This window comes from Homo sapiens, chromosome 1, assembly GCF_000001405.40.
Source record: "Homo sapiens chromosome 1, GRCh38.p14 Primary Assembly".
NCBI lineage: Eukaryota > Metazoa > Chordata > Mammalia > Primates > Hominidae > Homo > Homo sapiens.
The window spans coordinates 16337144-16354739 of NC_000001.11; the positions used below are offsets into that span (position 1 = coordinate 16337144).

General features: G+C 45.8%; 1 protein-coding gene across 5 annotated transcripts in view, besides 1 other annotated feature; it reads right to left on the minus strand.

Moving 5' to 3' along the window:
* Positions 1 to 15337, minus strand: part of FBXO42 (F-box protein 42) — a 105641-nt gene extending 90304 nt beyond the window's left edge. For all 5 annotated transcript variants that reach the window (NM_018994.3, XM_047422747.1, XM_047422750.1 and 2 more), the window contains exon 1: positions 15112 to 15337. The gene's annotated coding sequence lies outside the window, so the exon portion shown is untranslated. The remainder of the gene's footprint in view (positions 1 to 15111) is intronic.
* Positions 14602 to 15376: an enhancer, noted in NCBI's record as "H3K27ac hESC enhancer chr1:16678240-16679014 (GRCh37/hg19 assembly coordinates)". NCBI's record gives its function as "activates a minimal SCP1, AML or CMV promoter by ChIP-STARR-seq in primed H9 embryonic stem cells {active_cell/tissue: H9 hESC(primed)}" and the evidence as "EXISTENCE:reporter gene assay evidence [ECO:0000049][PMID:30033119]".

The following is a 17596-nucleotide window of genomic DNA, read 5'->3' on the forward strand; positions in this document are numbered from 1 at the left end:
TCAATATCTCCTAAGGTTCCAATGCTTCTCAAATTTTAATGTGAATCTAGTTTATAGATTCAGATTCAGTAAGCCTCGGGTGGAACTTGACACTGTATTCTCACCTTGATGATGCCAGCACTGCCAGTTTGGGGACCTTGAGTATCAAGGTCTTCAGTAACCATTAAAATGTAGCTGGTATCAACACTAGATGAGAAAATGGAATCAACAGGTATTGAGAACATGTGCCAGGTGCCTTATCTCATTTAATCTTTACGTCAACTCTGTGAGGAACATATTATCAATTCTAAGATGAGGATAAGATGAGGAAAATTGAGGCTGAGATAAATTAACTTGCCCATGATTACACAGAACCAGATTTGAACCCAATCATAGGACTCCATTTATTCTTTTTAAGAGATACTATAAATTGTCATTGAAATTAACTTCAAACCATCCTCAAAAGAATAATAGGCCAGGCCAGGCACAGTGGCTCACGCCTGTAATCCTAGCACTTTGGGAGGCCAAGGTGGGCGGATCACCTGAGGTCAGGAGTTCAAGACCAGCCTGCCCAACATGGTGAAACCCCCGCCTCTACAAAAAATACAAAAATTAGCTGGGCACGGCGACAGGCACCTGTAATTTCAGCTACTCGGGAGGCTGAGGCAGAAGAATTGCTTGAACCCAGGAGGCAGAGGTTGCAGTGAGTGGAGATCGCGCCACTGTACTCCAGCCTGGGAGAAAGAGCGAGACTCCGTCTCAAAAAAAAAAAAAAAAAAAAAAAAAAAAAAAAAGAATAATAGGCCAAACACAGTGGCTCACGCCTACACTTTGGGAGGCCAAGGAGGGAGGATTGGCCGGGCGCGGTGGCTCACACCTGTAATCCCAGCACTTTGGGAGGCCGAGGCAGGTGGATCATGAGGTCAGGAGATCAAGACCATCCTGGCTAACACAGTGAAACCCCGTCTCCACTAAAAATACAAAAAATTAGCCAGGTGTGGTGGCAGGCGCCTGTAGTCCCAGCTACTCGGGAGGCTGAGGCAGGAGAATGGTGTGAACCTGGGAGGCAGAGCTTGCAGTGAGCTGAGATCATGCTCCACTGCACTCCAGCCTGGACAACAGAGCGAGACTCCATCTCAAAAAAAAAGAGGGAGGATCGCTTGAGCACTGAAGTTGAGGCTGCAGTGAGCCTCTGCACTGTAGCCTGAGGAACAGAGTATGGCCCTATCTCCAAAAAAAAAAAAAAAAAAAAAAGAATAACAATGTTGCATGACATCTTGTCTTGGATACAGACTTTCACTTTCCTCTATTACCTGTTTCTTCAAAACGTCCTACCTTTTATTGTTATCCCCCTGCTTTGATGCTGGGCATTGTCATCCACACTTGAACCAAAATAGTAGACACCTACCTAACTGTTCTGACTCTAGCCTTTTGCCTCATCAATCTAGAGATTATTCTGCAGTCTCCAGGAATTTACTAAATGTGAGCAGACCAGTAGCATGGTAAAAACAGTGTTTCAAGAGGAATTCAAAGTACTTTACAATCCCACAATGCTCCTATCAAATCTCTCGGGTGGCATATAAACCTAGCTTCCCCACTGATAAACAAAAATATTCTGCAAAGAACATAATACATTTTAACAAGATGCTGTGATGGAATGGAACATTTTATTTCCATTTGTCTTTTTTTTTTTTTTTTTTTTTTTTGAGACGGTGTTTCGCCCTTTTCCCCAGGCTGGAGTGCAGTGGCACAATCGCGGCTCACTGCAACCTCCGCCTCCCAAATTCAAGCAATTCTCCTGCCTCAGCCTCCTGAGTAGCTGGGATTACAGGTGCACATCATCACCCCCGGCTAATTTCTGTATTTTTAGTAGAGATGGGGTTTCACCATGTTGGCCAGGTGGTCTCAAATTCCCAACCTCAAGCGATCCACCCATCTCAGCCTACCAAAGTGCTGGGATTACAGGCGTAAGCCACCCTGCCCAGCGGTCATTTATCTTTTTTCTAGTGGTGGTCAGGGCAAAGGAATGCCTTCCTGCTTCTGCCTCCTACTCACTTCTCTAGAGCAGAGGAGAGGACCTCCTTCCATCACAAGTCATTTCCTACTCCATTCCACATTAATCATTTCCAGAAGTCCATCTATACCATTACTTATCGACACAATGTCACACTATTTCATATTGTTATAGTTTTTTTGTTTTTGTTTTTTTGAGATGAAGTCTCACTGTGTTGCCAGGCTGGAATGCAGTGGCATGTTCTTGGCTCACTGCAACCTCCGCCACCTGGGTTCAAGTGATTCTCCTGCCTCAGCCTCCCGAGTAGCTGGGACTACAGGTGCGTGCCACCACGCCCAGCTAATTTTTGTATTTTCAGTAGAGACAGAGTTTCACCATGTTGGCCAGGATGGTCTTGATGTCTTGACCTCATGATCAGCCCGCCTCAGCCATCCAAAGTGCTGGGATTACAGGCATGAGCCACCACACCCAGCCATAGTTATGTTCTTATGTAAATTTTCTCAATAACCAGATTACACATTTTTGGTTAATACTTGCACAGCTGAACAGATTATGAATTTATGAAAGGTAGATAATGTCTTGATTACATCTTATCCCCAGGAAACCTAAAGGACAGTGGTGTATATGCACATGAAGTAAATCTTTGCTTCACCTGATCATAAAAATCACCTGGCCAAGCACGGTGGCTCACACCTGTAGTCCCAGCTACTTGTGAGTCTGAGGTAGAGGATCACTTAGCCTGGGAAATCCAGGCTGCAGTGAGCCATGATTGTACCACTGCGCTCCAGCCTGGGTGATAAAGCAAGACCCTGTCTCAAGAAAAAATTTAAAAAGTAAATTACCATCCTGGCTAACACAGTGAAACCCTGTCTCTACTAAAAATACAAAAAATTAGCCAGGCGTGGTGGCAGGCGCCTATAGTCCCAGCTCTTGGGAGGCTGAGGCAGAAGAATGGCGTGAACCCGGGATGCGGAGCTTGCAATGAGCCGTGATCGTGCCACTGCACTCCAGTCTGGGCGACAGAGCAAGACTCCAGTCTCAAAAAAAAAAAAGTAAATTAAAAAAATTAAAAATCACCTAGCAGGTAGATTTCCTGGAGACTGTTTCAGAAAAATAGGCATGAAAGCAGAAATCTTAATTCTATCAACAAGCACCACAGATCCAAATCCAGAAAACCTTTGGTAGTACTTTTTTTTTTTGAGACGGAGTTTCACTCTTGTTGCCTAGGCTAGAGTGAAATAGTGCCATCTCGGCTCACTGCAGCCTCCGCCTCTCCCAGGTTCATGCAATTCTCCTGCCTCAGCCTCCCGAGTAGCTGGAATTAAAGGCGCCCACCCCGCCCAGCTAATTTTTTGTATTTTTAGTAGAGACGGGGTTTCACCATGTTGGCCAGGCTGGTCTCAAACTCCTGACCTCAAGTGATCCACCCACCTTGGCCTCCCAAAGTGCTGGGATTACAGGCGTGAGCCACTGCGCCCGGCCAACCCTCTACTGAGGGTTAGGGTTTTGCCATGCCAAGGTTAAGTTACTTCTAAAACTTAACCTTATGTTCTCATTTATAATTTTCTTACAATGCTTTATACACTTTACTGAGCAATAGGCTTAAAATACGGTTAATAAAACTTGCAGAAAAATACAAAATAGTATAAGCAGGAGTAGATATTATAGAACAACTGAACCCTTATTTCACAAATGAGGAAAGTGAGGTCAGAAAACCTAAGTGGCTTTAAGGTCATACAGCCAATGAGTAGCAAAAATAGAAACTGTATCTTTTGTCTTTCAGCCCAGCACTTCTTCTATTGTACCATACCAAAATTTATTTATAAAAAATCAGCAGTAAAGCATTATTTACTAATGTCCATCAAAAACAGACCAGTTGAACAAACTCTGGTGCATCCTCACTGTGTAGGTGTGGAAATGAATAAGGACTACCTCTGTTCCAATATGGAATGATCTCCAAAATATACTAGGTGAAAAGACCAAGAGGCTGAGCAGCGTATATAGTAGGAAAACCTTTTGCATAAGAGAAAAAAAGAATATATGCAGATATTTGCTTATTATTGCAAAATCCAACATTTAAAGGATAAACCAAAACCAAATAAATATTAGAATGGTTCAAGCACCAACCATGAGACAACCCTTGGCAATTCCTCCTCAAAGTCCCAGCTATAAAAGTGGTAGTAGGCTGGAAGCCGTGGCTCATGCCTGTAATCCCAACACTTTGGGAGGCCGAGGCGGGCAGATCATGAGGTCAGGAGTTCGAGACCAGCCTGACCAACATGGTAAAACACCGTCTCTACTGAAAATGCAAAAATTATTTGGGAGTGGTGGTGCACGCCTGTAATCCCAGCTACTCAGGAGGCTGAGGCAGGAGAATCGCTTGAACCTGGGAGGTGGGGAGGCAGAGGTTGCAGTGAGCCAAGATTGCACCCCTGCACTCCAGCCTGGGCAACCAAGTGAGACTGCGTCTTTTAAAAAAAAAAAAAAAAAAAAAAAAAGTGGCAGTAAGTTTGAGTGGTGGTCCCTACTATTTGATATTCTTAAAAGTTCTGGGCCGGGTGCGGTGGCTCATGCCTGTAATCCCAGCGCTTTGGTAGGCCAAGGCGGGCGGATCACCTGAGGTCAGGAGTTCGAGACCAACCTGACCAACATGGAGAAAACCCCGTCTCTACTAAAAATACAAAATTAGCCAGGCATAGTGGCGTCTGCCTGTAATCCCAGCTACTCAGGAGGCTGAGGAAGGAGAATCGCTTGAACCTGGGAGGCGGAGGTCGCGATGAGCCAAGATCGCGTCATTGTACTCAAGCCTGGGCAACAAGAGAGAAATTCCGTCTCCAAAAAAAAAAAAAAAAGTTCTGGGCCAGGCGCAGTGGCTCATGTCTGTAATCCCAGCACTTTGGGAGTCTGAGGTGGGTGGATCACCTGAGCCCAGGGGTTCAGGACCACCCTGGACAACATGGCAAAACCCTAACTCTACAGGCCAGGTGCAGTGGCTCACGCCTGTAATCCCAGCACTTTGGGAGGCCAAGACGGGCGGATCACTTGAAGCTGGGAGTTCAAGACCAGCTTGACCAACATGGAGAAACCCCGTCTCTACTAAAAATACAAAATTAGCCGGGTGTGGTGGCACATGCCTGTAATCCCAGCTACTCAGGAGGCTGAGGCAGGAGAATTGCTTGAACCTGGGAGGCGGAGGTTGCGGTGAGCCGAGATCACGCCATTGCACTCCAGCCTGGGCAAGAAGAGCGAAACTCTGTCTCAAAAAAAAAAAAAAAAAAAAACCCTAACTCTACAGAAACAATGGACACGGTGGCACCTGCTTGTAGTCTCTGCTACTAGGGAGGCTGGGGTAGGAGGGTCACCTGAGCCTGGGGAGGTCAATGCTGGAGTAAACCGTGATCGCCCACTGCACTCCAGTCTGGGAGGCAGATTGAGATCCTGTCTCAAAAAAAAAAAAAAAAAGTTATAGTAATACCATCTCCTCCCTTTTGTTCCCCTGACCCTTAATAGTTTCACCCTACAGTAATTAATTTCTAAGTTACCTACTGCTATGGTTTAGATAAGGTTTGTCGCCACCAAAACTCATGTGGAAATTTGATCCCCAATGTGGTGGTGTTAGGAGGTGGGGCCTACTGGGTGGTGTTTAGGTAATGGGGGCAGATCTCTCATGAGTGACTTGGTGCTGTTCTCCTGGTAGTGAGTGAGTTCTGGCTCTCCGAAACTAGATTAGTTCCTGGGAGAGTAGGTTGTTATAAATCAGGCCATCCCCAACGTTTCCCCTATTCACATGTCAACTTCCCCTTTGACCTTTCCTGCCACACTGTGATACAGCTGGAAAGCCCTGCCAGAAGCCAGGGCCATGGACTTGAACTTCCTAGCCTGTAGAACCATGAGCTAAATAAACCTCTTTTCTTTATATAATAAATTACTTAATCTCAGGTATTCTTTACAGAAACACAAAATGGACTAAGACACCTACTCTACCATCTTTTGCCCTTCTGGTGTTATAACACATATGTAACCAATTCCCTATATTAAATTTCCTCTTTGAAATATTTAGTATATTTTCCAGTTTTTGGCTGGATCCTGATGGATAAAAAATTCTAAGGATTTAGAAGAACTGCAGGCTAGGCGCAGTGGCTCACGCCTGCAATGCCAACACTTTAGGTCAAGGCAGGTGGAGGATTGCTTGAAGACACGAATTCCAGACCAGCGTGGGCAACATGGCAAAACTCCATCTCTACAAAAAACACAAAAAAATTAGCCTGGCATGGTGGCATGTGACTGTAGTCCCAGCTACTCAGGAGGCTGAGATGGGACAGTAACTTGAGCCTGGGAGGGAGAGGTTGTAGTAAGCAGAGATTGCACCACTGCACTCCAGCCCAGGTGACAGAGCCAGACCCTGTGTCTAAAAAAATAAAAATCAAAAAAATTCCCAGCACTTTGGGAGGCCGAGGCAGGTACATCACGAGGTCAGGAGTTCAAGACCAGCCTCGCCAAGATGGTGAAACCCCATCTCTACTAAAAATACAAAAAATTAGCCAGGCGTGGTGGTGGGTGCCTATAATCCCAGCTACTTGGGAGGCTGAGGCAGGAGAATCGCTTGAACCCAGGAGGTGGAGGTTGCAGTGAGCCCAGATCGTGCCATTGTACTTCAGCCTGGGTGACAGAGACTACGTCTCAAAAAAAAATATTGGCCAGGTGTAGTGGTGCCCACCTGTAGTTCTAGCTACTCGGGAGGCTGAGGCAGGAGGATCGCTTGAGCCAGGAGATTGGGGCTGCATTGAGCCATAATCACACCACACTTTAGCATGGCAAAAAAAAAAAAAACAACAACAAAAAAAGAAAACTGCAAAGGGATCTTTTTTTTATTTTTTTGAAACAGAGTTTCACTCATGTTGCCAAGGCTGGAGTGCAATGGCGCAATCTTGGCTCACCGCAACCTCCACCTCCCAGGTTTAAGCGATTCTCCTGCCTCAGCCTCCCAAGTAGCTGGAATTACAGGCATGTGCCACCACACCCAGCTAATTTTGTATTTTTAGTAGAGATGGGGTTTCCCCATTGTTGGTCAGGCTGGTCTCGAACTCCTGACCTCAAGTGATCCACCCGTCTCAGCCTCCCAAAGTGCTGGGATTACTTTAAGTTAGCTTCAGGTATTTTATTAGTAGTAATATGGAATATATATAATTTTTTTTTTTTTTTTTGAGACAGAGACTCTACCGCCCAGGCTGGAGTACAGTGGCTTGATCTCAGCTCACTGCAACCTCGGCCTCCCAGGTACAAGTGATTCTCCTACCACAGCTTCCCAAGTAGCTGAGATTACAGGCACATACCACCACACCCAGCTAACTTTTTTTTTTTTTTTTTTTTGTATTTTTTAGTAGAGACGGGGTTTCCCCATGTTGGCCAGGCTGGTGTCAAACTCCCAACCTCAGGTGATCTGCCCACCTCAGCCTCCCAAAGTGCTGGGATTACAGGCGTGAGCCACAGCACCCATCCAGTTGTTACATTTTTAAACCTTCTTATACATACATAGGATAAAGCAAATAAATGTTAATATTATTAAAACCAAATATTTCAGTATGAGACAAATATAAAATCAAAAGAAAAAATCCCATAAATGTGTTAAATTCAGTTGTAAATATCAATATAAAGTTCTGATTTCTAATAATATTTTCTGGGCCGGGCGTGGTGGCTCACACCTGTTATCCCAACACTTTGGGAGGCCAAGGTGAGTGGATCATCTGAGGTCAGGAGTTTGAGACCAGCCTGGCCAACCTGGTGAAACCCCATCTCTACTAAAAATACAAATATTAGCTGGGTGTGGTGGTGGGCACCTGTAATCCTAGCTACTCCGGAGGCTGAGGCAGGAGAATCACTTGAACCTGGGAGGCGGAGGTTATAGTGACCCAAGATTATGCCATTGTACTCCAGCCTGAGAGACAGAGTGAGACTCCGTCTCAAAAAAACGACAACAACAAAAAAACATATATATATATTTTCTGAGCCAGGCGCGGCAGCTCACGCCTGTAATCCCAGCACTTTGGGAGACCAAGGCAGGCGGATCACGAGGCCAGGAGTTCGAGACCAGCCTGGCCAACATGGTGATACCCCATCTCTACTAAAAATACAAAAAATTAGCTGGGCGTGGTGGAGGACACCTGTAATCCCAGCTATTTGGGAGGCTGAGGCAGGAGAATTGCTTGAACCCAGGAGGCGGAGGTTGCAGTGAGCTGAGATCCTGCCACTGAACTCCAGCCTGGGTGATGGAGCGAGACTCTGTCTTAAAAATAAAATAGAATAAAATAAAATAAAATTTTCTAGTTGTGACTACTGAAAGGACCTAGAAACAATGAAGACCCTGTAGCAATGAGCATCCCTAGCACACAGATCCTGGTTTCTACTGGCATTCCCTGTAAAAGACACTGAGTCGCCAGGCGCGGTGGCTCACGCCTGTAATCCCAGCACTTTGGGAGGCCGAGGCAGGCGGATCACAAGGTCAGGAGATCGAGACCATCCTGGCTAACAAGGTGAAACCCTGTCTCTACTAAAAATATAAAAATTAGCTGGGCATGGTGGCGGGCGCCTGTAGTCCCAGCTACTCGGGAGGCTGAGGCAGGAGAATGGCATGAACCGGGGAGGCAGAGCTTGCAGTGAGCCGAGATCAAGCCACTGCACTCCCGCCTGGGCGACAGAGCGAGACTCCGTCTCAAAAAAAAAAAAAAAAAAGACACCAGGTCTTCTTAGAAAAACGACTAATTTCACTTCAATGACAGGTAGATACAAGGTGAATCCGGGATAGCTTGTTGTGACAAAAAATAAGGAAGCACTCCAAGACCAAAGGTGACATATCAGAAGGACACACTACCAACTTAAGGAGGCTTATGCTGGCCAAATTTCAGGGTCAGAACGACTAATGGTGAGAACGAAGTGTAAAATAATGAATAAATTAAAATCCATGTACAATATAGTGATACAGAAAGTAGCAAGGAAACTTATTTGCTACCACTGAGGTGACCACTTCACCAATTCTTTACGAAGAAATTTATAATGAAAAGCAAAAAAGTAAACACCCTACCTTATTAGAGATCAATAAAGGAAACATTTGAAAGTGCGTTTACCCCCATACTAGTGAATTCCTTAAAACAACTGAAAGTATCCTAAATAGAAAATATTCTAAGGGAACATTACCAGCTAAAACCAAAACACGCTTGCCTTTATAGAAATTAAATGAACTACTTCAAATCTATTTATTACTAGAAAATAAGAGAGCGAGGCGTAGTGGCTCACACCTGTAATCACAGCACTTTGGGAGTCCGAGGCGGGCGGATCATGAGGTCAGGAGATCGAGACCATCCTGGCTAACACAGTGAAACCCCGTCTCCACCAAAAATACAAAAAATTAGCTGGGCGTGGTGGTGGGCGCATGTAGTCCCAGCTACTGAGGAGGCTGAGGCAGGAGAATGGTGTGAACCCGGGAAGCAGAGCTTGCAGTGAGCCGAGATTGCGCCACTGCACTCCAGCCTGGGCGACAGAGCTAGACTCCGTCTCGGGGAAAAAAAAAAAAAAACAAGAGAAAATAAGTTACTAAGCTAAATTACTGTACTGAACAGTACATTTTTTTTTTTTTTTTTCTGAGACAGAGTCTCACTCTGTCGCCCAGGCTGGAGGGCAGTGGAGGGACATCAACTCACTGCAACCTCTGCCTCCTGGGTTCAAGTGATTCTCCTGGCTCAGCCTCCTAGGTAACTGGGATTACAGGCACACACTAATTTTTGTATTTTTAGTAGTAGAGATGGGGTTTCACCATGTTGGCCAAGCTGGTCTTGAACTCCTGACCTCAAGTGATCCACCCACCTCAGCCTCCCACAGTGCTGGGATTATAGGCATGAGCCACCGCACCCGGCCTGTCAGAATAGTACAATTTTAAAAGTGACTATTGCCATATATAATAACTATACATTTATCAGATTTATATAGTGTACATATATAAATACACTTATCTGTGTGTGTGTGTGCGCATCAAAGCATCACAAGATACATCCACCTTTGAAGCAAAACACTGGAAAAAATTAAAAACTCAGAAAAAAACTTTACAGGCCAGCACAGTAGCTCATGCCTGTAATCCTAGCACTTTGGGAGGCTGAGGCAGGTGGATCACTTGAAGACAGGAGTTCGAGAGTAGCCTGGCCAACATGGTGAAACCCCGTGTCTACTAAAAATACAAAATTAGCCAGGCATGGTGGTGTGCACCTGTAATACCAGTTACTCAGGAGGCTGAGGCAGGAGAATCACTTGAACCCAGAAGCAAAGGTTGCAGTGAGCCAAGATGGCGCCACTGCCCTCCAGCCTAGGCAACAGAGAGAGACTTCCTCTCAAAACAAACAAACAAACAAACAAACAAACAACTTTACAAATTAAAAAGTAGAAATTTCAGGCAGGGCACTGTGGCTCACGCCTGTAATCCCAGCACTTTGGGAGGCCAAGGCCAGCGGATCACCTGAGATCAGGAGCTCCAGACCAGCTTGGCCAACATGTTGAAACCCCATCTTTACTAAAAATACAAAAATTAGGCAGGCACAGTGGCTCACGCCTGTAATCCCCACACTTTGGGAGGCCGAGGCGGGCAGATCACGAGGTCTGGAAATCGAGACAATCCTGGCTAACACAGTGAAACCCTGTCTTTACTAAAAATACAAAAAATTAGCCAGCTGTGGTAGTGGGCGCCTGTAGTCTCAGCTACTCGGGAGGCTGAGGCAGGAGAATGGCGTGAACCTGGGAGGTGGAGCTTGCAGTGAGCCGAGATCGCGCCACTGCACTCTATCTAGCCTGGCGACAGACCCGAGACTCCGTCTCAAAAAAAAAAAAAAAAAGAAAAAAAGAAAAGAAAGACTTGCCTATAAGTCATAAGCTATATTATAAGCTTAATGCTGGACAATTTTTAAATGACTTGTCTGTAAGTCATATCCTTGTACATGTAGCAAGCTGTCACATTATAGAAAACTGAACACATCACCTTCACTTTTCCATCAGCCGCAACTTTAGATCACTCATTTTCAGTTAAGATACAGATGGTATATGTTCAATAATACAGTGCCACATAAAAATTTCACTCAATCCAAAAATTCGAAGTTTTTGCAATATAGGCAACAACACGCTAAATTAATTGTACAACAACTACAGCACTAAGGTAAATAACTTGTACTGGGATACAGAAGTTCAATATCAAAGCTACTAGCAACACCAATCCACATAGATTCTATAAAAGTTTAGTGTAATTCGTCGGGAGCGGTGGCTGAAGCCTGTAATCCCAGCACTTTGGGAGGCAAAGGTGGGCGGATCACATGGTCAGGAGTTCGAGACCAGCCTGGCCAATATGGTGAAATCCCACCTCTACTAAAAAAAAACTACAAAAATTAGCCGGGCGTGGGGCGGGTGCCTGTACTCCCAGCTACTCGGGAGGCTGAGGCAGGAGAATCGCTGGAACCCGGGAGGTAGAGGTTACAGTGAGCAGAGATTGCGCCACTGCACTCCAGCCTAGGCGATAGAGCAAGACTTGGTCTCAAAAAAATAAAAAAGAAAAAGAAAGTTTAGTGTAATTCTCACTTAAGCGGTCAGCTTCAATCAAAAAGGAATTAAGATCTTCTCATTTTATTTATTGTTGGGAAAAAGGAGACAGTACTAATAACCACCTATAATCAACATTGTAAGGAATAACAATTAAATATTTACTGTATTAATTGTCATCAAATTAAAAACACAGTGCCTCTTGTACTAGTTTACAAAACAAAAACAAAAAAGCATCATCACTCTAAAGTTGTCACCACTTAGTAATCTGAGATATTTTAATTGCAGCTGCAATGTTTGTGTTTGTTGCCTGTGTATATGACTCATATAGAAAGGTTTTCCCAAGACTGCTGGATTTTTGAGAATGCAGAAGCCATAACTGGGGCATACTGTGTGGGAACTGTCATGACAGTGAATGAATAAAAGGGGAAAAGAACCCATGACAGAATTTTTTTTCAAGTTTTTATAAAAAGCAAGTCACTCACTAAAGGCAGACTCTGCAGAATAATAGGAAAGGTTGGGGAAAAGCCATCCCTGCTCCAAGAAGCCTTCCTTGACTCTCTTGGTTGGATTCAGTGCACTTCTTAACACTACATAGCACTTAACGGGTTTCCTTGTCTGGCTCCCCAGCCATACTATATGCAACTTCAGACCAAAAGCTGTCTTAAATTAGTACCTACTTCCCAAAACACCCGCCATATGGAGGGCCCTCAGTAGGTGGTTCATAAATAGGAATAATCAATTTTACATTTACCTTTTATTTTACATTTTACAAAGCACTTTCACGAACACTATCTTTTCTGATCCACATTAACAATCGTGGGAAGGGCTTTATTTAATCAAATGGCTTCTGGTTTTATAAAGAGTTAATTCAGGGCCGGGCGCAGTGGCTCAAGCCTGTAATCCCAGCACTTTGGGAGGCCAAGGCAGGTGGATCGCCTGCGGTCAGGAGTTCAAGACCAGCCTGGCCAACATAGTGAAACCTTGTCTCTACTAAAAATACAAAAAATTAGCTGGGCATGATGGCAGGCACCTGCAATCCCAGTTACTCAGGAAGCTGAGGCAGGAGAATCGCCTGAACCGGAGAGGTGGAGGTTGCAGTGAGCCGAGATCATTGCACTCCAGCCTGGGAAACAAGAGCAAAACTATGTCTCAAAAAACAAACAAAAAGAGTTAATTCATTGACTAAAACAATTCTGAAATCACAAAGATAATTACGTATTTGTTCATCTTTGAGATAGCTTCTCCCTGGGACCTCAGTGTTCTCATAAAACTCAGACGTTTTGTTAGCATTTTCTTTGCTTGCTCTCCATAATAGGTAGGACTCACCCTGCTCTGAATCTTACTCAGGGTTTAAACCACATAAAGCTGTTATTAAAGACCCCTCTAGAAATCAGACAAGAAGAAGCATCCTAAGCTATTTTTTTTCTGATCCTGTTCTTTTTGTAACTAAGGTAAGGAATTGCAAAGGTCAAAATCTGGAGAGCAAATGATGTCATGGATGTCATGAAGTTGCATCAATACCTGATGATGATTTAGCATAACAGTGCAACATATTATGCCAAGAAGCATAATGATGAGCCACCAGGATGTTTTACTGCATTAATTTCATGACTCTTTATTAGCAAATTGATATGCAAAGTAGCTCTCCAATTTTCTACCACAGAGAAGCTGCTGGTTCAGATTTACATCTTTAGCAAAGACACTAAGAAAATCGACAAATTTCTATGGAAAAGTCTTTGATTTAAAAATAGAAAAGGAGGCTGGGCACGGTGGCTCAAGCCTGGGGTGGGGCAGGGTATCGCTTGAGACCAGGAGTTTGAGATCAGCCTGGGCAACATCGGTGAAACCCCGTCTCTACTAAAATTACAAAAAAAAAAAAAAAAAAAAAAAAATTAGCGGGCGTGGTGGCGCACACCTGTAATCCCAGCTACTCAGGAAGCTGAGGCAGGAGAATCGCTTAAACCCAGGGGATGGAGATTGCAGAGAGCCGAGACTGTGCTACTGCACTCCAGCCTGGATGACAGAGTGAGAAACTGCAAAAAAAAAAAAAAAAAGAAAGAAAGAAAGAAAGAAAGAAAGAAAGAAAGAAAATGGTCAAATAATAACCTAAACAGTTGTCATTTTAACAATGAAAAGCTTTTTAAGATACGCAACATGCCTATGGATCAATGTAGATTGAATCATCTATTTATACTGGCTTGTCAAAAGCAAACAGTTACTGGGTATAAAATGACAACATACAATAGAAAAGACACCCAATCAGATTACACACGTGAATACACTCAAAGTTAGCAATTTAACACAGCATCACTAATGGCCATAAGATATACAGACTTAATTCTAAATATTCAATTCTAAATGATGGTACTTCCCCCAAATTTTCCTTGCCTCTTTAAATCCATGATGTCATCATTCTTAAGCAGAAGTAAAGCCAATTTGTTACAAAAGATATTTTGGTGTGTCCAAGCAAAAGCAATCGCCTCAACAATTCTGCATAGCACAAGTTCAGTGAAGCCATCATTCCTCAAGAAAGAGACCACAAGGCTTCAAACCGACTTCCCTACATGACAGAAACACAATCGAAGTCTCCCAATTAGCATTTAAACAGCAATAAAAGTTGTTCTCAAAAAGGAACAACATAGTTTCAACGTCGGGGCCAGCAACTGCCAGCAAGTAAAACTGGTAATGTGTCAGAATCTTCATCTAGATCGATCAGAATCCCACCACAGAAAAATCCAGACTCTGGCAATTAAGAAATGAGGCTTTTATTTTCCTAACAGAAATCGGGAGATTTAACAGACAAAGCAATTGGTTATTCTGAATCTTAACAAACCGAAGGTTTCAAACGAACTCAGCGCTGAAGTTACTCTGCAGCGACCATCAAGATCTCACAATCGTTTTCTCTTCGCTTACAAATTCGTTCCCACCCTCCACCGTTCCCTTTGCACACACAATTCTCGCCAAGAGAAGCCTTCCACAGTCACAGCATGGATTGCTGTCTCAAGCAAGGAGATCCGCAGTTCCCATTTCTCTAAGGGAACACTCAACAAGCTAGGGGATAGGAAAGGCCTTTTGTGTTTTATTTAACGTAAACCAATTCCAAAATTATCCCTTTGCAGCTGCAGGTTCAGAGATGCTAGCCCCCAGCCGCAGCCCCAATTTTGATGGGCACCCGACCCCCGACTCCTCTCTCGCAAAGGAGTGAAATGTTCGGAGGAGCGATGAAAGATTACCTGACACCCTAAAGCCATCCTTGCCCGGGCCACACACCCCTTCACTGCCCGGGTGAGGGGACGAGAACCACCCTGCTGAGGAGAGGGGGTGGGTTCGCTCCCAACCCAAGGGCTGGCTGGAAAGGAGCTGTCCTCCTCCTCGCCTCACTCGAGGACGGCGATAGCAAGTCACCCTGCCCAACCAGGACCGACCCCCGCGTGGGATACGGGGCCTGCGTCAGACCCCGGGCGCCCGCTGCCCCTTGCCAGTCCCGGGCATAAAGGGCAGAAGGCGCCGGCTCCCCTCTGCGGCCCGGGGAGGAGGAGAGGCCTCACCTGGCCCAGCCCGCTCCACGCTCTCGGGTTCGCTCCGCTGGCGACGGTAATGAGGGAGCCAGGGACAGGGCCAGAGCAGAGGCGCTCTGCCTCAGGCCGCGACAGCCGTGCTCGGGGCTCCTCACAGCTGGCGGGACCCCGAGCCGCCCGGAGCCGCCATCTTCCTCCACTCAAACGCCGCCGCCGCCGCAGCTGCTGCTGCTCAGGCCGGGAGAAGACAGCGCAGAGCGCGCATGCGCCGGGGCGGGCGCGGCGGACGCGCGCGCACTCACGTCAGCGCGGCGGGATGGCGAGGGGCGGCCAGGGGGCGGCGCAGTGTTGAGAAAGGCCGTGGTCACAGGCCGAGGTTCTGTGGAGGGTGGAATGCGCTCGGGGGAGCTAGGCCTCCGCACCCGCCTTCGCCGCGTCTCTAGCGTCGACCTGATAGCCGCACCCACCCTCCGCTGCACTGTCTGGGGCAACTGGGTGGTTTTCCCGGTGGTTTGAGACTAACATTTAGCCAGGAATTAACTCACTTCTACCCCGAGGGCCCGATGAGCAGAGAGGGCTGTGGCGGATGTGAGTGCTCTTGGATATCGCCAAGGGGAGGGAAACTGTGCTTGAGGTGTGCAGGAGAAGTCTTCCCTTAACCGTAGCCTCGTAGCAACCACTGTGAGTTCTTACTAGCTCCACTTTTCAGATGAGGAAACTGAGGCACAGAAAACGATCACTTATTTGCCCGGAGTCACACACCTATCAGTGGAGGTGGGGCGGCGCGGGAAAGAGGATTTAAACTCAGGCTTGTCTGGTTCCCAAGCTCCTTTACTTCCTACTAGCTAGGTTATAGGATCCAGCAAAGTCCCCCTTCTCAAGGGAGCAACCTGGTGTGTAGGTGAGAACCTTCATGAGCCCAGCCCTACAGCATGTGGTCTAAGGAAATGCCAGATACAGAGTCAAAGGCTTCAGTCTAAACTCTGTAAGCCAAAAAAACAAAACAAAACAAAACAAAAAACTAAGCCCCCACCCCCCCCCCAACACCAAACCATCTGAACGGACTTCCTCCTAGGCCAGGGCAGTCTAAAATGTAACCAACCTGAGAGACTGGTTCAGGCCATGACGGGAAGCAGGACATGAGACATGCCTCATTACATCCTTCAGCATTGACATCAACACAACAGACCTTAAGACTGGTAAGAAACATTTACAATCTGTTCTCTCTGGAGCCCACCTGCCACTTGGAGGCTTCACGTGCGTGATAAAACTTTGGTGTCCACAATCCCTTATCATAACCCAGACATTCATTTCTATTGATAATAACTTTTTTTTTTTTGAGACAGGGTCTAACTCTGTTGCCCAGGCTGGAGTCCAGTGATGAGTTCTTGGTTCGCTGCAACCTCTGTCTTTCAGGCTCAAGCTATCCTCCTACCTTAGCCTCCTGAGTAACTGGGACTACAGGCGGGCACCACCATGCCTGGCTAATTTTTCCATTTTTTTTGTAGACACAGGGTTTCGCCATGTTGTCCACTCTCATCTCAAACTCCTGAGCTCAAGTAATCCACTTGCCTCGGCCTCCCAAAATGCTTGGATTACAGGCGTGTGCCACCGCACCAGGCCTATTGATAATAACTATTTCAACTCATTGCCAATCAGAAAATGTTTAAATCTGCCTATAATGTGGAAGCCCCCACTTCAAGTTTCCGGTCTTTCTGCACCGAACCAATGTAGTTTTTATTTATTTATTTACTTATTTTTATTTATTTGTTTATTTTTTTGAGACTGAGTCTTGCTCTGTCGCCCAGACTAGAGTGCAGTGGCACCATCTCCGCTCACTGCAACTTCCGCCTCCTGGGTTCAACCGATTCTCCTGCCTCAGCCTCCCGAGTAGCTGGGATTACAGGCGCCCGCCACCGTGCCCAGCTAATTTTTGTATTTTCAGTAGAAAATACAAAATTCAGTAGAAAATACGGGGTTTCACCATCTTGGACAGGCTGGTCTCAAACTCCTGAACTCGTGATCCACTCACCTCGGCCTTCCAAAGTTCTGGGATTACAGGTGTGAGCCACGGCGCCTGGCCTTTTTATGTATTTATTGAGACAGGGTCTCACTCTTCGCCCAGGCTGGAGTGCAGTGGTGTGATCTCCACTCACTGCAACCTCTGCCTCCCAGGTCCAAACGATTCTCGTGCCTCAACCTCCTGAGTAGCTGGGATTACAGACATGTGCCACCACACCCAGCTAATTTTTGTATTTTTAGTAAAGACGGGGTTTCACCATGTTGGCCAGGCTGGTCTCGAACTCTTGCCTCAGTTGATCCACCCGCCTCGGCCTCCCAAAGTGCTGGGATTACAGGCATACGCCCCTGCACCTGGCCCTGTATTAATATATCTTAAATGTATTTGATTGATGTCTCATGTCTCTCTAAAATGTATAAAACCAAGCTGCTTCCCAACCACCTTGGGCACATGTTCTCAGGATCTCCCAAGGGCTGTGTCATGGGCCATGGTCAC